A 22,575-nucleotide genomic window follows, 5' to 3' on the forward strand; every position below is an offset into this window, starting at 1 on the left:
TCAGTCCTGAGGTCCTCTGGCAGTCCAGGTGAGTTCCTACCCCCCTTAGACAAGTAAATGGGCAAATATAAAAGCAGGAAATGAGCTCCCTGAGGGCAGGAGCTGTGTTATTCATTGTTGTATATCTAGAACCTGGGGAAGTGGCTGGCACTTTGTGGACACTACTTAGTGAGTCTCAGAGTCTGAGAGTACAGTCACACATTGTTTAACTACAGGGATATGTTCTGAGAAATGCATCATTAGGTGATCTCATTGCTGTGCAAACGTCATGTAGTATACTTATACAAACCCAGATCATATGGCCTACTACACAATTTAGGCTATATGGTGTAGTCTATTGCTTCTAGGCTATAAATCCAGACAGCATGTAACTGTGCTGAATATTGTGGGCAATTGTAACACAATGGGGAGTATTTGTATAACTCGCGTAGAAAAGATACAGTAAAAATATGATATAAAAGACAAAAAACGGTGCACCTATATAGGATTCTTACCATAAATGGAGCTTGCAGACTGGAAGCTGAGTTCAGCTGTTAAGACTGGGTTAGTCAGTGAGTGAGCGGTGAGTGGATGGGCAGGCCTGGGATATTACTGTATGCTACTATAGACTTTATCAACACTGTACACCCAGACTACACTAAATTTATTTTAAAAGTTTTTCTTTCTTCAATAATAAATTAATCTTGGCTTACAGTCCCTTTTTTACCTATAAACTTAAATTTTTTTTGACATTTTTGACTCTTTTGTAATAACACTTAGCTTAAAACACAAACACACTGGATAGCTGGACAAGAATATTTTCTTTCTTTATGTACTTACTCTATATATTTTTTTCTATTTTCAAAACTATTTTTTGCTTTTCAAACTGCTTTGTTAAAAATTAAGACATAATCACACACATTAGCCTAGGCCTAAACCGGGTCAGGATCATCAATATCACTGTCTCCCACCTCCACACCTTGTCCCATTAGAAGGTCTTCAAGGGCGATAACACACAGGGAGCTGTCATCCCTTATAACAATGCCTTCTTCTGAAATACCTCCTGAAGGACCTGCCTGAGGCAGTTTTATGATTAACTTTTTTGAAATAAGTAGAAGCATACTCTAAAATGGTGAAAAGTTTAGTATAGTAAATACATAAACCAGTAACATAGTCATTTATTATCAATATTAAGTATTACGTACTGTACACAATTGTATACTTTTACACGACTGGCAGCATCATTTTGTTTATACCAGCATCACCACAGACATGTAAATAATGCATTGAGCTATGATGTTGCAACAGCTATGACATCATTAAGTGATAGAAATTCTTCAGCTCCATTATTATCTTATGAGACCACCGTTGTATATGTGGTCCACTGTTGCCCAAAATGTCATGATGTGGTCCACTATATTGGGTCCCTGTTAAGCAGAAATGGAGATGCCCTGGGTAGGAAAATTTGGTAGTGTTATGAAAAGCATATCTAAGGTATGTTCTGAACCATAAGTTTCAACAGTGAAACTACAATGGGATGTGTCATTCCGTCTTCAGAAAATATCCCCATCTTGAATGATTCTGGAAGTTGAGACTCTGAGATTTCCTCTAGAGAGTAAAGGAATGGAATCAGAAAGCCTTCTTAGCTAAAGCTAAAATACAAGGGTAGCAAAGTTTGAAATGAAGCCCCCATCCCAATGTGGGACAGTGTTTCTCTTGGTGTGAGAAATTCACCTCACCAAATGTAGCCCATCGGATTCTACAGAGAGGTAGAAGCACTGGCCTTGCCATTCACAGTTCCAGATACAGTGAAGGAAAGAAATGACCAAGAGGAATGGGCCCGTAAAAGTACAAGGTTAGCCTGACAGTTAATTAGAGGTTTGAAGGAAGACAGACTGGCTGTTCTAGAAGGTGGTTTACTGGCTGATTTCAAGGACCCCTGCAAGTTGAGAATGATGAGATCTGTTCATTTTCCTTCAGTGTAATGAATCATGCCTCTGATGACAATTTTGTGTGAGTCATGTTTTATCAGCTTCTTTCTGAATTATTGCTTATCACTTGGAAGCTCCCCAGTCATTTGAAGATTGTCAGAATGAAGTCAGATTTTAGCTGGGGAGGTAGAATATTCTGTTTTGGAGGACACATCTGGTTATACCTGACAAGCAGGGACATCCTGGCTCCAGGAATCTTCTTCCTACTGCATGCCGGAGGACACTGCACAGTCTTTCTGAGTGGGCCAACAGCCTGGCAGCTAGAAATGGGTACAAAGAGTGTTCCCTCTTCTGCTCCCTCAGCAAGACAGGATCTTGAGGAAGGCTTTCCGGAACTCGATATTGAAGGTGGTATAGATCACAGGGTTGAGGGCGCTATTCACGTAGCCCAGCCATGTCGTGGCACTGTAAAGCTCTGGGGACACGTGGCATGTCTGGCAGTGGGTATTGAGAACATGGGTCAAGAAGAAGGGCAGCCAGCAGACAATGAAGGCCCCTAAGTTGCCAAATAAGAGAGAAACTGGGTAAGGGATTTGCTTACTCCTTTTGTTATAACATGAGAATGACTCACGGTTGTCTACTTTATGCCAGCCACTAAGCTGGAAGTTTTGCATACCCACTTACTTTTTTTTATAACAACCCTAGGCCGGGTGTGGTGGCTCACGCTTGTAATCTCAACACTTTGGGAGGCCGAGGCGGGTGGATCACCTGAGGTCAGGAGTACAAGACCAGTCTGGGCAACAAGGTGAAACCCTATGTCTACTAAAAATACAAAAATTAGCTGGGCGTGGTGGTGCGTGCCTATAAGCCCAGCTACTCGGGAAGCTGGGGCAGGAGAGTTGCTTGAGCCCGGGAGGCAGAGGTTGTGGTGAGCCAAGATTGCGCCATTGCACTCCGGCCTGGGTGACAGAGTAATACTCCATCTCAAAAAAAACAAAACAAAACAAAAAAAACCCAACCCTATGAAATAGGTGTGATTAGCCAAACTTTTTTAGGTGAGAAAACTGCATGCTAATGTCTTTCATTCACTTTGGCCTTTGTTACTAAATCAGTTTTCTAGTTGGGTCTCTAGGTAGTTCTTTACTAGTCTTTTTCTTTTTCAATTCAATTCAGACGTTTATTTAATGCCTACCTATGCAAAACATGATCCTAGGCACTGATAGGTATGAAGACCTTAAAGATGTGACTGACATCGTTCCTGCTGTTGAGGAGATTACATCTAGGAGTTCTAGTAAACTCCCTGATACAGGAGAGAGTTGGGGTTTGTCAGTGACACTGAACAGGATGAACTGCCTTCACTAACTCTATAGCATACCTGTGATTTATTCATTTTTAATTTCTTTATTTAAATAAAGTTCAGGCTGGGCACAGTGGCTCACACCTGTAATCCCAGCAGTTTGGGAGGCCAAGGTGGGTGGATCACCTGAGGTCAGGAATTCAAGACCAGCCTGACTAACATGGCGAAACCTTGTCTTTACTAAAAATACAAAAATTAGCCGGGTGTGGTAGCGCATGCCTGTAATCTCAGCTACTTGGGAGGCTGAGGCAGGAGAATCACTTGAACCCAGGAGGCAGAGAACCCAGAACTCAGGAGGCTGAGATGGGAGGATTGCTTGATGCCATGAGTTTGAGACCAGCCTGGGCAACGTAATGAGACCCTGTCACTACAAAAAACAAATAAAAATTAAAAAAATTAGCTGGTCATGGGGGCATACGCCTGTAGTTCTAGCTACTCGGGAGGCTCAGGCAGGAGGATTGCTTGAGCCCAGGAGTTCAAGGCTGCAGTGAGCTATGATTGTGCCACTGCACTCCAGCCTAGGCAACAGAGTCAGACCATGTCTCAAAAAAACAAAAAACAAAAAATCTTGATTGTATGCATTATGGAAAGCTTGGTAAATACAGACAAGTAGGAAAAAAGGAATAAGCACCCACCACTCAAAGACAATCACTTTTGATATATTGGTGAATTTCTTTCCAGTCTTTTTTACTCTGTATTTAAAATAATCTAGATTTTTTTTTTTTTTTTGAGATGGAGTCTTGCTCTGTCGCCCAGGCTGGAGTGCAGTGGCGTGATCTTGGCTCACTGCAAGCTCTGCCTCCCAGGTTCAGGCCATTCTCCTGCCTCAGCCTCCTGAGTAGCTGGGACTACAGGCGCCCACCACCACGCCTGGCTAATTTTTTGCATTTTTAGTAGAGACGGGGTTTACCGTGTTAGCCAGGATGGTCTCGATCTCCTGACCTCGTGATCTGCCCACCTCGGCCTCCCAAAGTGCTGGAATTACAGGCTTGAGCCATCATGCCCGGCCTAAAGTAATCTAGATTTTATCATACCATATCACAATAGTGTTTTGCATTCTTATTTTTATCACTTAATATTTTAAATAACTAAGCATTTGTTAAATATCCAATATGTACCAGACAGTTTTATTGAATCATTATCTTACTTATTGTTTGATTTATGTGTTGTAGCTCCATATAATGGACAGCGCAGTTAAGTGGCTTGTTCAGCTTCATAAATTTCAGCCTAGGTCTTTTGAATTTCCACCAGAGTTAGCATTTATACACAAATACTTTTCAATTATATTGTGAACATTTGATAAGTATTACTGTCATCAAATTTCCGATAGCATCTTCTACCAGCTCCACTTAACTTAACACAACCTAACCCAACCCAACACAGCTCAAGCCAACCCAAACTTACCAAGCACAATGGCCACCATTTGGGTTGCCTTCTTCTCCCGAAGTGGCACTCCCCGAGGTTGCAGGGGCCCCAGCTTCAAAGATGTCGATAATCTGCCATTGCTGAGTTTTCGAACTTCTAAGCTGAGCTTGGGCGCTATGGTGGGACTCAGGGAATTCCGAGTCTTCTCCTCTCTTTTCAACTCTCCTCCTCTTTCTTGGAAGCCTGGTCCACCCAAGGCAGTGTCCTGGCAGATGCTGTAGTAACGCTTCAGCTCCAGATGTGCCGGGTCAGGAGAGAGGGTCTGCAGGTGTGACAAGAGGGAATCTTGACATTTCTGGGGGTATTGTTTATCTTCTGAATGTTCCTGAAAGGGCCAGAGAATTCAAAGAAGGAAGACGGCAACACAGTTGTGGGAAACCTACAAAGGGAACATCTGAGGGAGTGGTGGGACCATGAGAAGTTAAGGGAAATGAAATTTGCTTTAGACTTTACAACTAAAAAGCACCCACCATATCATCAGAGTGAACAGGCAGCCTACAGAATGGGAGAAAATTTTTGCAATCTATCCATCTGACAAAGGTCTAATATCCAGAATCTACAAGAAACTTAAACAAATTTACAAGAAAATAACCCCATTAAAAAGTGGGCAAAGGATATGAATAGACACTTCTCAAAAGAAGACATTTATGCAGCCAACAAACATATAAAAGAAAGCTTGTCATCACTGGTCATTAGAGAAATGCAATCAAAATGACAATGAGATAACATCTCAGGCCAGTTAGAATGGCAATCATTAAAAAGTCTGGAAAACAACAGATGTTGGTGAGGATGAGAATAGGCACGCTTTTACACTGTTGGTGGGAGTGTAAGTTAGTTCAACCATTGTGGAAGACTGTGGCGATTCCTCATGGATCTAGAACCAGAAATACCATTTGACCCAGCAATCCCATTACTGGGTATATATCCAAAAGATTATAAATCATTCTACTGTAAAGACACATACACATGTATGTTTACTGCAGCAATATTTACAATAGCAAAGACTTGGAACCAAGTGAAATGCCCATCAATGATAGACTGTATAAAGAAAATGTGACACATATACACTATAGAATACTATGCAGCCATAAAAAAGAATGAGTTCATATCTTTTGCAGGGACATGGATGAAGCTGGAAACCATCATCCTCAGCAAACTAACATAGGAAGAGAAAACCAAACACCACATGTTCTCACTCATAAGTGGGAGCTGAACGGTGAGAACACATGGACAAAGGGAGGGGAACATCACACACCAGGGCCTGTCAAGGGATGGGGGGCAAGGGGAGGAAGAGCATTAGGACAAATACCTAATCCATGCAGAGCTTAAAACCTAGATGATAGGTTGATAGATTCAGCAAACCACAATGGCACATGTATACCTATGTAACAAACCTGCACGTTCAGCACACGTACCCCAGAACTTAAAGTAAAAAAAAAAAAAAAGCAGCACCCACCACATATAGAACATTTGATAATCACAACAACCTCTTGAGCAGGGTAGCACAGAATTGTAGTCTGGCCTTTTTGAGTTAGAATGACCTGGTGATACAGAGAAACACATTAAGTGACACCACTATGACATAAGCCCCGAAATGTGGAGTGTGGGAAACTCCACAAGACAAATGACTCAGTTTCTTCAACAAATAAATTTTAACAACAACAATGACAATACTTACCAGTTGCAAAATATGTGCCTTATTTGAATTTTGATTCAAACAAACCAACTGTAAAATAATTTACAAGACAATTGGGGAAATTTGAACATCAATTGGACATTTAATGATATTAGAAAACTATTAATTTTTTAGTGTGATGTGGTATTGTGGTTATGTGTCTTATAAAACAGTCCGTATTCTTTTTTTTTTTTGAGACAGACTTTCGCTCTTGTTGCCCAGGCTGGAGTGCAGTGGTGTGATCTCGGTTCACTGCAACCTCTGCCTCCCGGGTTCAAGAGATTCTCCTGCCTCAGCCTCCCAAGTAGCTGGGATTACAGGCATGTGCCACCACGCCTGCCTAATTTTGTATTTTTAGTAGAGATGGGTTTCTCCATGTTGGTCAGGCTGGTCGCAAACTCCTGACCTCATGTGATCTGCCCACCTTGGCCTCCCAAAGTGCTGGGATTACAGGCGTGAGCCACCGTGCCTGGCCAACAGTCTGTATTCTTTAGAGGATCTTGCAGAAATATTTTGGGTTGAAATAATACGGTGTTTAGTATTTGCTTCATAGCAATCCAGTGGGGATGTGTGAACGTAGGTGGGATTGTAGATGAAATAAGACTGACCACGAATTGATCACGACTGAGGCTGCCTGATGGCTACTGGGGGGTTGTTATATTTGTCTACTTTTTTATTTTTGAAAACTTCCATAATAGAAATTAAAAAAAAAAAAAGAAAACCCAGGATTTTCTTCTCAGCTCTCTTACTTAGTAGATGTATCTTTAGGCAAGTTAATTTAATATCTCTGAGCTTCCTTTGTAAAACAGAAAAGAAATAGGGAAAAATGGGTTTGGGATGAGTAGCCTCTGAGAATGGAATACTGAAATATGTTAACTTTTCTGGTATGGAGGGGGAGGTGTGTGTGTGCCCAACTTGAACTTCTTTTCATGTTTGAAGAATCAGACTATTGTGTCAGTCTTGAACAGGAGGCAGAACTCAACTCTTCAACTCCCATTACTGATGGCATAAAAGCCAGATATTCACTTCATACCTCCATTCCCATGCAGCTAGAGCTCAGGCACATGCACCAAGCCCAGTCAATTGCAGATTCACACCTGAGACTTTGAACTGGAACTTGTGAAGCAGGGAGACTTCAGAACTCCTCTAGTAGTGGTGGCATTCAATGTCCAGTGTGTTAGGTTTTCTAACTAGATTATTTCTTAGGCATGAATAGCATCTTTCTGAAGCTGTTCTTCAGCCTTCTCATTGAGCCTGTGAGCCACCTGACAGCTTTCCAGTAAATTTGTTTTCTACGTAAGTTATTCAGTGTCAGCAACAAAAACCCCTCGCTTTGGTTTCCTTAGTTCAAGGAAGCAGTCTTCTAGGTACACAGAACTGGCACATTGTACATACTCAGAATGAATGAATGAATGCAAGCGGTCTTCAAGACTATTTAGTGTTATTTATTTATTTATTATTTTTAGTAGAAATGAGGTCTTGCTATGTTGGCCAGGCTGGTCTCAAATTCCTGGGCTCAAGTGATCCTCCTGTCTTGGCCTCCAAAAGTGTTGGGATTACAGGTGTGAGCCAACATGCCCAGCCAATTTAAGTTTTTAAAATTTTTATTTATTTATTTATTCTTTAAGACAAAGTCTCACTCTGTCACCAGGCTGGAGTGAAGTGGCATGATCTCGGCTCATTGCAACCTCTGCCTCCCAGGTTCAAGCAATTTTCCTGCCTCAGACTCCTGAGTAGCTGGGATTACAGGCGCCCACCATCACACCTGGCTAATTTTTGTATTTTTAATAGTGATGGGGTTTCACTATTTTGGCCAGGCTGGTCTCGAACTCCTGACCCCAAGTGATCCACCTACCTCAGCCTCCCAAAGTGCTGGGATTACAAGCATGAGCCACAGCATCTGGCCTAGAGTTTTTTTTAAATGGTGGTCCACAGAGGTATTCTTAGGAATTCTAGAATAATATACATTTTTTTCTTGAAGATTTTAAAAATTCATATATAATAATTTTACATATTTGTGGGGCAAATGCAATATTTTGATACATGCATACAATGTGTAATGATCAAATCAGGCTAGTCATCACTTCAAACAATTATCATTTCTTTGTGTTGGGAGCATTTCAAATCTTTTCTTCTAGGTATTCTGAAATATATAAAAACTGTTGTTAAGCGTAGTCACCCTACTGTGCTATTAGACACTAGAACTTGTTCCTTCTATTTAATTGTATGTTTGTACCCCTGAATCCACCTCTCTTTCTCGCCCCCTCCCCCATCTCCTTCCTAGCCTCTGGTAACCATGAACCTACTCTCTATTTTCACGATAACCACTTTTTTAGCTTCCATATGTGATTGAGAACATGTGATATTTGTCTTTTTTTTTTTTTTTTTTTTTTTTTTTTGAGACGGAGTCTCGCTCTGTCGCCCGGGCCGGACTGCGGACTGCAGTGGCGCAATCTCGGCTCACTGCAAGCTCCGCTTCCCGGGTTCGCGCCATTCTCCTGCCTCAGCCTCCCGAGTAGCTGGGACTACAGGCGCCCGCCACCGCGCCCGGCTAATTTTTTGTATTTTTAGTAGAGACGGGGTTTCACCTTGTTAGCCAGGATGGTCTCGATCTCTTGACCTCATGATCCACCCGCCTCGGCCTCCCAAAGTGCTGGGATTACAGGCGTGAGCCACCGCGCCCGGCCGATATTTGTCTTACTATGTCTGGCTTATTTCACTTAACATGACGTCAAGTTAAGAGAATACATATTTAACATTTTTTGGTTTTTAGTTTGATGGCATTTTCTAATAATTAAAATAAGCATATTTCATTTTATCTGAATGCCTATTTACAACAGAGATTATGGTGTGTTTTTTTGTTTGTTTTTTTTTGTTGTTGTTTGTTTGTTTTTGAGATGGAGTTTCCCTCTGTCGCCCAGGCTGGAGTGTAGTGGTGAAATCTCTGCTCACTGCAACCTTTGCTTCCTGGGTTAGAGTGATTCTTGTGCCTCAGCCTCCTGAGTAGCTGGGATTATAGGTGCATGCCACCATGCCCGGCTAATTTTTGTATTTTTTTAAGTAGAGATGGGGTTTCACCATGTTGGTCAGGCTGGTCTCGAACTCCTGACCTGGTGATCTGCCCATCCTGGCCTCTCAAATTGCTGGGATTACAGGCGTGAGCCACCACACGCGGCCCCAAGATTATGTTTACAATTAAACTGGCACCTACTGATCTTCTTAAAGTGACAATATTTGACTTCTAACGCATTATTTCTAAAACTAGGGGATGGGAAACAAATTCTTGGGATTGCCTAAGAAATCTCATATTAGCTGGGTGCAGCCCAAGAGTTCAAGGCTGCCATGAGCTGTGATCACACCACTGCACTCCAGCCTGGGGAACAGAGTGAGACTCTGTCTCAAAAACAAAAACAAAAACAAAAAAACCTCATATTTGAAAACATTGATCTAGTATACCCTGTTTCCATTTTACAGATATGGAAATTCAGTCCTATAGTAGGAAAATGATTCTTCCAAGATTATATATTGGTGAGTGTATTTTTCAGCTCTGTCTGCAAAACCTGATCACTACTTCCATGACTGACATGAGGAAACACTGGATTCCTCTGGGTCTGGCTGGCAGAGCCCTCCACTCCCAGATGGCAGGACAGAACCTAATTCTCCACACTCTTGGAAATGCCAGTCTCTTGGCTGTCTGATCTCTCTTTTGTATTCAATATTTTTCCTCCTCTTGGCCTTGAAGCCTCCTTAGACCTTGGATCAGCCATAGGCAACTTTGAGCTGCATAGCTATTATCGTTTAAAATGATTATCTCCAATTACCACACCAGGCCTGTGTAGAAAGTCATTAACTATACTGAGATTGAACAAAGCTCAGACCTTAATTATTACAAATTTTTGAAGTTTTATTTCTAATGTGGAATTCAGAGAGGAATACTGTTCTCATATCTAACACCTCCAGACTCCACTCTGCACTCTGCTAGCTGGGCGAGGCAGGCCTGGCTTGAATTGGAAGAACAAGGCTAATGGTGACCATGAAGTTGTCTTGGTTTTTCCCACATTCAGTGGTAAATATGGCACTTGAAATTTTCCTTTCTCTGCCTGGTTTTTGCTCTGTCCATGTGTGTTCCCTTGACGTCTGTTTCCTCTAATGCAGGTGGCCTTGGATGGCATTGTCACACCGTGTGCAAGAGTCATTGGCTCCAGTCACTAAGGTCAAGTCCAATAGTCATATGCTTTCTCAATATCTTCTGATGAATTCTATTCTGAAGCTTAAATTAGGAAGAATTTCAGATCTTGTCTTATAGATATATGTGTGGGAATCAGGGTAAGGTTTCATTCTGGGGTGAGAGTAGAATCAAGATAAGCCAGTATTGTGGGAAAAGGTCTCTTATTCTTTCTCTATGATCAGACATGGCCCACTTACCATTTTTCCTGTGGCATGTGATGGAAATCAGGCCCTTACTGACAACTGCTGAATGGGGTGCAGGTGCAGACAAGAAGACTGGGCAGGGGGTGTAGAAGAAGGAACAGTTAGTTGTGGGTCTAGCCATGTCATTGATAGCCATGGGACATGATAATATTTTGAATGCAATACTTTCATATCCTCAGCCTTGGGTCTTGATCTCCTCTTTCATGGGGATTAATAGTCTTGTTTCACTCAAGCCTTGGGACTTCAACTTAAGAGTCTGACCTTCATTCATACTTTTGACATCATCAAAGACCTTAACAGGTCATCAGAGATAATGTAGGTCATCAGGCTGGGCACTTATGCCTGTAATCCCAGCACTTGGAGAGGTTGAGGTGGGCAGATCATTTGAGGCCAGGCATTATAGACCAGCCTAGCCAACAAGGAAAAACCCTGTCTCTACTAAAAATACAAAAATTAGCCAGATGTGGCCGGGCGCGGTGGCTCACGCTTGTAATCCCAGCACTTTGGGAGGCCGAAGCGTGCGGATCACGAGGTCAGGAGATCGAGACCATCCTGGCTAACACAGTGAAACCCCGTCTCTACTAAAAATACAAAAAAAAAAAAATTAGCCGGGCGTGATGGTGGGCGCCTGTAGTCCCAGCTACTCGGGAGGCTGAGGCAGGAGAATGGCGTGAACCCGGGAGGCGGAGCTTGCAGTGAGCTGAGATTGCGCCACTGCACTCCCGCCTGGGCCACAGAGCGAGACTCCGTCTCAAAAAAAAAAAAAAAAAAAAAATTAGCCAGATGTGTTGGTGGGCACCTGTAATCCCAGCTATTCGGGAGGCAGAGGCACGAGAATCGCTTGAACCCAGGAGGTACAGGCTGCAGTGAGCTGAGATCATGTCACTGCACTCCAGTCTGGGTGACAGAGCGAGACTCTGTCTCAAAAAAAAAAAAAAAAAAAAAGATTATCTAGGTCATCAAAGATTAATCTAGACACCCAAATTGGATCTGTCTTCAAGATCAAACTCAATTCTTACTCTGTCTATGGAGCCCTTTCCTGAGTGTATTAGCCTGTTTTCATGCTGCTAATAAAGACATACCTGAGACTGGGTAATTTATAAAGAAAAAGAAGTTTAATGGATTCACAGTTCCATGTGGCTGGGGAGGCCTCACAATCATGGTGGAAGGTGAAAGGCACGTCTTACATGGCAGCAGACAAGAGAAAATTTGTGCAGGGAAACTCCCCCTCATAAAACCATCAGATCTCGTGAGACTTATTCACTATCATGAGAACAGCAAGGGAAAGACCCACCCCCATCATTCAGTTACCTCCCACTGGGTCCCTCCCATGACACATGGGAATTGTGGGAGCTACAATTCAAGATGAGATTTGGGTGGGGACACAGCCAAACCATATCACTGAGCATATTGGGTTTTCTCTTCTATAACCTCCAGAGCACTTCATAATTGAGTGCTTAATTGTCTTCACCTCACATTTGGCAAACATCCTATTCAGCTCTGGGATCTTCATTAACATTGAGTGGAGGGGTGCTTTATTTGCTTTTCTAGATTCTAAGCTCCATGAAGGCAGATGCTGTTTAATGTTACCACTGTCCCTTCCCTAGTAGATTTCAAGTGATCGGTATATATCCATTCATGCTTCAAGTACATCGTGGGAAAACTACTAAGTGCCAGACAATGGGGTAAGGAGAAATTAAAGCCCTAGCAATTAGAAGATCATTGCAGAGGCAATGACATTTCTTTTCAGAGCCTAGAAAGATCCAATAAAATGCTTTATCAGCACCCTATCCCACCAGCTTGTCAGTTCCTTGACACACGGACAGATCCAGTAAGGAAAAAAGGCTTTGATGGACCCCAGTGATTCTTGGCATGAGTGGTTTAGACAAAAAGTCAGTTCTGGGAACCCACCAGCAGTGCAAGGTACAACTGCTGCACTTAAACTTCAAAACCTGTGGGACATCTGAGCTGCTGCCCATTTGGGGAAAATGAAAGACTTTGAAGGGAAGCAGAACAAGCCCAGGAGCTCTCCAATCACTTTGCCAGGTAAGGCAGGCTCTAGAGGCAACTATCAATGTTTTCTTGAGATTGGATTTCCTACCTTCAAAGCGCAGCCAAAATTAGCAGATTCCAAAGTCGGTGTCAGATTTGTGTCTCCAATTTAGCTAAACGGCAAAATCATGCACTGCTGGACACAGGCTGGGAAGTCAGGAGATTGGGTGTTGTCTTCCCTCTACCCCCTCCAGGGTACTTACTTGCTGGGGGAAGCCAGGCCTGACACTGTTGCACTGACTGTTCTGTCGAGTGAGGATCCTTTTCCGTCTCCTTTGTTTCAGCACCACATAGATTCTGGCATAGACAAGGACAGTCACTCCAAAGGGCAGGTAGAAGGACACCACTGAAGAGTAGATGACAAAATCAGGGTTGGAGATGGAGCAGACAGTGGGGTCCCCTGTGGATGAGAAGGGGGAAGGTAAAGCAGTTAGCAAGTATCAGAACTCAGTAAGGAGCATAAAACACGGCTCCATGTCACGTGTGGTGCCTGCACTTTCTGCTGCACAGGGGGTGGGAAGGATGCAGTCTCAGATACGTATACTGTCAGGTCCTTGAGGGTAGAAGGTCTAATTCATCTTTGAGTTTCTTACAGCTTGCTTAAAATAAAAAGTTACCAACAATCATACGCCAGACACTGGGGCTACAAAGATGAATGAGACACCATGTCTTCTCTCAAGGGAGCAAACAGTCTAGATAGACAGATGATCCCTTTCATAGGATGTCACAAGTGTCACACAGAGACATGCAGCCTGGGAGGCTGGGGAGAGCATTACAGGGCAACAGGGCAGAGGCTCCCAGGAGGGATGCAGCCCTCAGAAAAGGGCCTGCTGGTGCGGAGGCATTGGAGAATTGTTTGAATGCAATGAAAGGAAGAAGCCTTATTTGCTGAGAATGCCAGTTCTCCAATTTTGAATCTGGGATGGAGGGCAGATGGCGGCTGAATACAAGACAGAGATTTGATTTTTCAGGGAATCCCAGCACTTGTCAGAGGTGGGATGGGAAAAAGGCAGGTAATGATATTGTGACATGGAGAATGTGCACTTAGAAGGGTCCTTGTCCCTGCTTTATATCCTGAAATGTTCCTGCCATTTCTCCTTGGGAGGTCCCTCTAGCTTTGCCTTCTTCATAGCAGATGCTGAGATTCCTCCAAGGCCCAAGATGGGCCTGAAACGTGCCCCATCTTGAAAAAGAAAAGAAAAGCAAACTAATATCTGCCAGGCGATGAGCCAAGAGCTTTGTACCCCTTATCCCACCTAATAATTAAGGCAACGTTATATGAGACAGGTGCCATTATTACTGTCTCTCTTTTCGGATGAGCAGATTAAAGCTCAGAGAGGTTCAGTAAGTAGCCCAAGGCTGCACCTGAAAAATATGTTCTTGCAGCCAGTTTTATGCCCAAGCCAATGTTCTTTCTATAATTTTAACTCCCCATCCCTCTTTACCATTGTGACATGGAACATCTGTGCTTCATCCAGCACTGTGAGCAACAACTGTTGGTACACCCGGCCAGTCTTCATAAAGGGTTGGGGATTCTCCAACCTCAAAGTTGGCCTTGGAAGATGAAGCCTCAGGTGTGGGCTGGTGGGGAGAGGGCAGTGGCCATGTAGGACCCTTATTCTGCTTCTTGGTCTTCTGAGGTAGGTGGAAGCCAGAGAGCCTTCAGTGTGAGATTCAGGTCTGCTATTTATTAACTGTGTGATCTTGGACACGTTTCTTTAATTAATCAATTAATTAATTTATTTATTTTTTGAGACGGAATTTTGCCCTTGTTGCCCAGGCTGGAATCCAATGGCTCGATCTCGGCTCACCGCAACCTCCATCTCCCAGGTTCAAGCGATTCTCCTGCCTCAGCCTCCCAAGTAGCTGGGATTACAGGCATGGGCCGCCATGCCCAGCTAATTTTTTTGTATTTTTAGTAGAGAAGGGGTTTCTCCATGATGGTCAGGCTGGTCTCAAACTCCCCACCTCAGGTGATCCACCCTCCTTGGCCTCCCAAAGTGCTGGGATTACAGGCGTGAACCACTGCACCCAGCTGACACATTTCTTAAATATGCAAAGCTTCAGTTTTATTACCTGTTAAAAGAAAAAGCCTAGAAATATTGTATAGTAGTTGTGAGAATTAATGAGAATAAATGGTAGCTATTCTTAATATTTATTTATTTATTATTTATTATTTCTCTCCCCTGAGCCTTTTGAACTGAAAGGGAAGGTAACATCTGAAATGGGAATTTGGAGACAGACTTATAGGGAGCAATATTTGTGGGAGAAGGAAGGAAATAACAGCTAAGAACTAAAACGAAAAGAGTGTGCTCAGTGACCAGTGATGCATTTTACTGACATCTTTGCCACTAGAATCTTTACAAGCTACTCCTAAATTCTCTGGTTCTCTGAAGAGGAGGTAAAATTCAGGTAAATTTCATGTTGTTTCACCAAAGCCTATGTCATCATCCTTTAGAAAATGGCTTATAGGGGCCAGGCATGGTGGCTCACGCCTGTAATCCCAGCACTTTGAGAGGCCGAGGCAGGTGGATCACAAGGTCAGGAGTTCGAGACGAGCCTGACCAACATGGTGAAACCACGTCTCTACTAAAAATACAAAAGTTAGCCGGTGTGGTAGCACACACCTGTAATCCCAGCTACTCAGGAGGCTGAGGCAGGAGAACCGCTTGAACCCAGGAGGCAGAGTTGCAGTGAGCTGAGATCGCGCCATTGCACTCCAGCCTGGGCGATAGAGCGAGACTCTCTCTCAAAAAAAAAAAAAAAAAAAAAAAAAGAAAAGAAAAGAAAATGGCTCATAGGCTCTGTGTAGTTCACCAAATTGGCATCTGCTGGTATTTGGGGGTGATGGAGTTGGGGAGAGGGATAGGGTGGCAGTGCGTGGTCTTTCAGAATCTCTAGGGAGCCACGTTGGTGGTGATCTGCTCCTTCTCTGAAGTCAGCTTTTCTGTTGTCAGCATCTGACTATGGTTTTAAAACCTGCCTGTGATAAGGAGGCGTTTCACATGTCTCACGTGTGAGAAGAGGCCAGTGGGGTGGCACTGCCCATCTTGTTGTCATCCTTGGTGTCCCGGATATTCCCTGTTGGTCCCTCCACCTAACTTTCTACCTTTTCCTACCCACTCTGGGTTCTGGGAGGCTGACCTCTAAATTTTATATATGAGCTACTTCTTTTAAAAAGTCAGGGTCAGATAGGGGTATGGTATGCTTCTATTTGTGTAATAATGAATACACATACACATACATAAACATATTTGTGTATGGACATGCACACTGTTGCAAGCATTATCTTGCAAGAATATTAATGTTTGTTTCTAGGGAGGGAGATGGGAGAATGTAGTAATCTGGGGTAGAAGGGAGACCTACATATAAGTATGTATGTATCTCATGGGCACCTTATGAATGTTTTATGTGCAAGCATTTATTTCTCCATTAAAAATATTGAAAGAGAGAGTTGAGAGGGCATATAGCTATTTCAGGGTCCCTAGTCAACGAAGGCTCTCACATATAATCACAGAACCTGCATTGCCATCTCTTCCTTCCTCCCCTATCTAAGCAAACAGCTTCCCTTTCTTAGATCAAGCATTGCAGCCTCTTCCAGAATGTCCCCATTGCAGGCAGAGTGACACTGGAGGTGGGTGGCCAATGAGTAGGGCCTGCCCCAGCCCCCAGCAGGCCTGGCCCTGGGTGTGTGTCCTGTTGGCAGGGCAGAGTGATGCACCACACAGCAGCAGTTCTGAAACCTTCTCTGCTGTGTACCAAAGAGGTAAGGAAAGCTGTAATGCCCCCCAGAAGCTGACACTTCCCCAGGAGATGAGGTGCCTTGTTTTGATGATTTAACTGCAAGAGTGTTGTTTTGTTAGCACAATAGTTATTGAGCAAGTGCATAAATAATAAATAAATGAGCAAAATGTACAAATGAGCATTTTATATAAACACATGAGCACTCACTGACCAGAGGATAATGGAGAAGGCCTGTGCCGGGGGAGGGGAGGTTACTCCTCCTCTGAGATTAGAGATGCTTATCCCAACTAATCTCAACATTTCAGGAAGAAAGGATGATGATGAAGAGTCATCTATTTACTCATTCTACAAATTTTGTGGAGTACGTACTATGTTTAAAGCACTGTGCTGGGTGAAAAAGACAAAGGCATCTATGAGGCTTTTGCAGGCTGTCTTGGGAAACTGAGACCCACCATGATGTGGACAGCTTGGCTCAGAGCAGGTTTACTTGAAAGATTCATGAACTTCAAATTCATTGATGGATTTGACCCCAGCTTGATTCCAAAGACATGCGGTGCCAATGAATCTGATTTTAGGATGGGCCTGTTATTCTTTTAATTTTGTGCTTCTACTATTCTCTTAACTTTTTGTGCAACTAAGCTCCCCCTCCCCCAACCTAGCTCCAGTGCTCTGAAAACTAGGTGAGATGTTCTATTGATGAAATCAAATAAATAGCACTCCTCCATTTCCTTCTTTCAAAGGAAAATCAAGCCAGCTGATAGAGTTTTCTTAACTTTAAGTTTCTCCTCCCTTGAAGATTTCTTAAACTCTTATCATCAGCTTATTCACTCTTTGCTTATTCATTCTAGATTTTTAAAAATAACACAATAGCTTTCTGATTTAGCAGGAATTTAAATACTAGTTATTTTTCTTATCTATGCAATGAAAGGGTTGGGCTGCTCATTCAGGCATCTTCAGAGTTTCCTTTGGCACCAGCACACCATGCTCTGCTGTATCAGGGTCTGTTGATGATGTGATATTTGCCTAGACTGCTGGGCCTCTGCTGGGAGTTAAGGCAACCCTGGCCAGCCAGGCCCCTGCCTCGGAACTCTCTCACCCAAAACCCTGCCTCATATTGACCTTTCATCTGAGAACAGGAGCAACTCCAAGTTGGAAGAGACTGAAGTTCAACTTTTCTGTATCTTATGTTCTCTAATAATTCACAATTTCGTGTGGCAGCCCATGGCATTAAAAGAAGAGCTCTGCCAGAAAGTTCTTTTTTTGTGTTGCACTTATTAGTGAAAGTCCAGCTGCTTCCAATATCAGGTGTTATTGGCAGGATCCTGCCCTCTCCCCCTTGATTTTCCACAGAAGGTGTAGAAAAAATGACTGAGAAGAGTCCTTTATATTGGGCTTTCAAATGAAGTTGGGAACTTCCTTATAGATGAGAGAATTGCTGCAGGAACCCACATCTATCAAGATAATGAAGCTGTACAGTGAAGGTCAGCTTGAGGCAGAGGAGGACAGCTGGGCCTGAGCTTCACTTACTAAATCCCCTAACTGTGTTCTAGGAAGGGGCGACTGATCTCTAAAACCATCAGCAGAACTCTTACGACTGCAGATGTATAGTTACATTTTGATGTATAAACTTTTCCAATAAATAATAACAACCATAACACCAGCTAATATCTACTGAGCTCTTACAATGGAACCTGACACTTTAACACAATATATGAATAATTGGAAGGCTTGCTAGAGTGCTATTAATAAACTTAAATGTAAAAGACAGAGCGATTGTGAGAGACGAGAGAGAAGTGAGAGCGCACATACTAAGTCACAGGCCTTTTCTGCCTTCTCAATTCTATACTTAAAAATCCTTTTGGAAAAAACTTTCCTGAATTTTGTTTCTGGAACAATAATGATCTCACTGGGGGCAACAACACTGCAAATTCATCATTCTTCTTCACTCTGGATGTCGACATTAACCGAGAACTCAGTCTAATGTCAGCTTTTGAGATTGTTTCAACTGTTTCCAGTGTGGTGTGTCTGTGAGAGTGAATAAGACCGCCTCCACCAAGAATGAGTCAGGGGAACCACAGTCAGCCCAGCAGATGTTGGCAGGGATTTGCTTTTGGCTAGAGGGTAAGAAGTGCCTTGGTCTAGCAGTGGTGAGTTTCCCACACTAGAATTTCCAACTAAGAATGCATTTTCATATAGAAACAAGGTTACAGAAGGTGACTTAGTTATCAGACTAACTCATAAAGCACATTTAGCATTCACGAAAAATGATATTTTAGTGCCACAGAGTCAGCCTCTGTAGCTGTGTTAAGGGATGTTGCTTTGTACTGGGCAATGTGTGCATGTTTGTGTGTATAAAGTGTCATTCAGTTAAAATAACAAAGTAATGAAAGGTAAACAGTAACGCAAAGATAACATCACCATATTTTGAGAATAGCCTGGGTTGAACAGGCAAATATTTGTTGATAAGTTGGCTAGTTACCCTTTACTGTGGCAGAGAAACAAGCCAGCCTTGAGTAGGCGGTACGTGCTTGGCATATTTACATATGTTATCCCAATTTAATCCTCATTTAATGGCAAAAATCTCTCTGAAGAAGTTGGAGTGGAGTTATATGTAGTCTTAGATTCTAAAGTCAATAAATAAAGTGAAAATTATATAGACTCCAAATTTGCCTTGAAAATCTGAATCACATGTAAAGATATACATGGTTTTATTATAACCCTGCAGAGTAATAAGTTGTATGGTACATATAGTAATATATCATATATTGTAGAGTTCCTATGGAACATATAATTTTAGAGATGAAATTGCTGGGCTCATTTGTAGGGGGTCATATATAAAAATAAATATTAAAAATGTCTTAACTAAATATGTAGATCAAGTTTACTTATTTTAATTCACTCAAGTGTATGCTCCACTGTAATTTTATCCCACATTTACCAATGAGGAACTCAGAGAAGTTAAGTAACTTGTTTAAGGAGAGACAGCTAGTAAGTCTGGACTTTGATTTGGAGTTTGGACTTAGATTTTACTTACTCCAGAGCCTATACCTATCTTCCAAAATATATTTTGATTTCTAAATCATTGTCCAGCAAATGACACTTGGAAGATTACTTAAAGTTAGAATTTGCCTGTATTTATATGTAATATGTTACATATAATATCTGCATACACACAAGCACATGGCTATGTGACTGGTACATATATACTAGACATTTACAAACCTGGAATATAGGCATTGAATGAATCAATTCAAATGGACAAAATAAGAAATCCAGATGACCACTGGAACACTAATCAAGCAGCTTTTCCTTAGCACGCAGTGTATATTGTCAATACCCATCATGTTACTATGTGGTTTAATACCTTTCATTCGACACGTTAAATTACTGAGGCTGGCCGAACGCGGTGGCTCACACTTGTAATCCCAGCATTTTGGGAGGCCGAGGCGGGCTGATCACTTGAGGTCAGGAGTTTGAGACCAGCCTGGCCAACAGGGTAAAATATAAAATTAGTGGGGCGTGGTGGTGGGTGCCTGTAATCCCAGCTACTTGGGAGTCTGAGGCAGGAGAATTGCTTGAACCCAGGAGGCAGAAGTTGCAGTGAGCCTAGATTGTGCCATTGGACTCCAGCCTGGGTGACAGAATGAGACTTGGTCTCAAAAAAAAAAAAAAAAGAAAAAGAAAAAGAAAAAAAATTAGTGAGGCTAAAAGATGGACATGGTACAAACACAGAAGGCACTGATTCATCTGAGGTATTGGTGTCATGCTTAAAATCCCGAGCATTTCAGACATATATATTGTCCATCCATCCATCCACCCAGGAGATGTACCATGTGCCAACCATCATACCCAGAATTTTTATATTAAAAATAGAAAATATACTCTCCAGGAATTTGGGAATCTATACTGGTTAGTTCTGAAGAATTGGAAATTATTCTTATTGAGTAAAAAGTTAGAAGTATATATCCTACTATAAGACTTTTACAATGTGTTATTTTGCATTGTAGGTCTGTTATGAATTGTTATCTTTTTATTAGCAAACCTTGCCTGAATTATTAATATATATCTTGGTTTTTTTAACTGGTACATTTCTGCAAATGAATACAATGACATTTCTTTCAAAATAAAGATGAGCCAGACTTTTCATTAATTGGGGCAGAACTTTACCCCCTGTGCCAATAATTGATGAGGTTTTGCTTTATATTTTATTTATAACCCACAAAGGCCAAAGCTTTGCATTCTGTGGCATTCTCATTTAATTGCAAAGTACACTGACCGGGGGTCAGAAATTGCAGGGCTGAGCACAACTCACAGCCAGTCATTCAGCTGTGCTGTGAATCACATGGATGCTAGAAATGAAGCCATCACTGTTACCTGTGGTATTAAAGCCAAACAGAAGAGGGCAGGACACAGCAAAGGCCAGTACCCAGACGGCCGTGATCATGAGGGCCACGCGCCGACAGGAGCTCTGTCCCGTGCCATGCTGGTAGTGAACGGGCATGACCACTGCAGTGTACCTGAAAAAGCAAGGGGAGAGGGGATAGGCATGGTGAGATGGAATGGGGTACTTTTCTTTCTGCGTTGTTGTTGTTGTTGTTTTTGGAGACAGGGTCTCACTCTGTCACCCAGGCAGAAGTGCAGTGGCATGATTACTGTTCACTGCAGTTCAACTCCTGGGATCAGATCCTCCTACCTCAGCTTCCTGAGTATCTAGGATATGCCTGTGCCGCCACCACGCCTGCCTAATTATTTTATTTTTTTGTAGAGATGGGGTCTTACTTTGTTGCCCAGGCTAGTCTCAAAGTCTTGGGCTCAAGCAACTCTCTGGCTTCAAGCAAGTCTCTGGCCTCAGCCTCCCAAAGTGTTGGGATTACAGGCGTGAGCCACCAAGTCCAGTGAGGGGAACTTTTCAAAAGACCAGATGAAAGAAGTTCGTAGAGAAATAATCAGGTTGATACATATAGCATGAGAAATATAATTTAGTTAGAGGAAGAGAGAAAAGCAGAAAGGTCAAAAATAGCAGAAAGGTTGAGATAAGATAAATGAAGAACTTACTGAGGGAGATGAACTCAGAAAGGGAAGAATAAAAAAGTTAACACAGGATCACTGGATTGCTGGAGAGCTTCTTTATCGGTTCTACCTGATCACCCAGCATAACCGGCCTTACTGTCACACACCCTTCACTCTGAACACTCTGGGTGCTGGTCTGTGTGCCTTTACCGTCTCCTGCAGGTTTTCAGACAATGATAGAACATACCTAAAGAGGATATTTACCTCCTGCTTGTATCCTAATATAAATTATAACCTTCATTGTGACAGCTCCTCTAAGTAGTAGATGTTTTAAAAATAGAAATGAGGAATGTCCAGTGAAGGCTTATTTTAAAATCCAGTTTTCATTCTTTTACATAACCAAAGCCCAGTTCCTTACTATTATTGGACATCTTTGTGTTTTTTTTGTGACAATTCTTCACCAGCATTTCCAGCTGCCCGTAGGACTTAGCTGGACAAATGTTCCACAGTCAACTCAAACTCAAGATGTCTAAAACTGATCTCCCCAACTCCCCAAACCTCTCAATCTGGTTTCACTGACTGCCTTTCTTGAAGACATCCAGACCCAGTACTTAGACCTTTTGACTCTCCCTGGACCCTTTCATATAAGTTGCTTGCTTGCTTATTTATTTATTTATTTTGAGATGGAATCTCAGTCTGTCGCCCAGGCTGGAGTGCAGTGGCGCGATCTCAACTCACTGCAACCTCTGTCTCCCAGGTTCAAGCAATTCTCCTGCCTCAGCCTCCCGAGTAGCTGGGACTACAGGCGCCTGCCAACATGCCTGGCTAATTTTTTGTATTTTAGCAGAGATGGGGTTTCATCATGTTGCCCAGGCTGGTCTCGAACTCCTGAACTCAGGCAATCCACCTGCCTCGGCCTCCCAAAGTGCTAGGATTATAGGTGTGAGGCACTGTGCTCAGCCTTGGTCATT

General features: G+C 42.6%; 1 protein-coding gene across 4 annotated transcripts in view; it reads right to left on the reverse strand.

Annotated features, from left to right (window-relative positions):
* The window catches only part of DRD3 (dopamine receptor D3), a 71,828-nt gene continuing 50,386 nt past the window's right edge, over positions 1,134–22,575 (reverse strand). For 2 of the 4 annotated variants that reach the window (NM_001282563.2, NM_001290809.1), the window contains 4 exon segments: positions 2,206–2,466; positions 4,672–4,954; positions 13,054–13,250; positions 20,969–21,111. In NM_001282563.2, the coding sequence (NP_001269492.1) occupies positions 2,270–2,466; positions 4,672–4,954; positions 13,054–13,250; positions 20,969–21,111 (820 nt within the window). In that variant the 3' untranslated portion in view covers positions 2,206–2,269. 4 annotated transcript variants of the gene reach the window in all.

This window comes from Homo sapiens, chromosome 3 (assembly GCF_000001405.40).
Source record: "Homo sapiens chromosome 3, GRCh38.p14 Primary Assembly".
Taxonomy (NCBI): domain Eukaryota; kingdom Metazoa; phylum Chordata; class Mammalia; order Primates; family Hominidae; genus Homo; species Homo sapiens.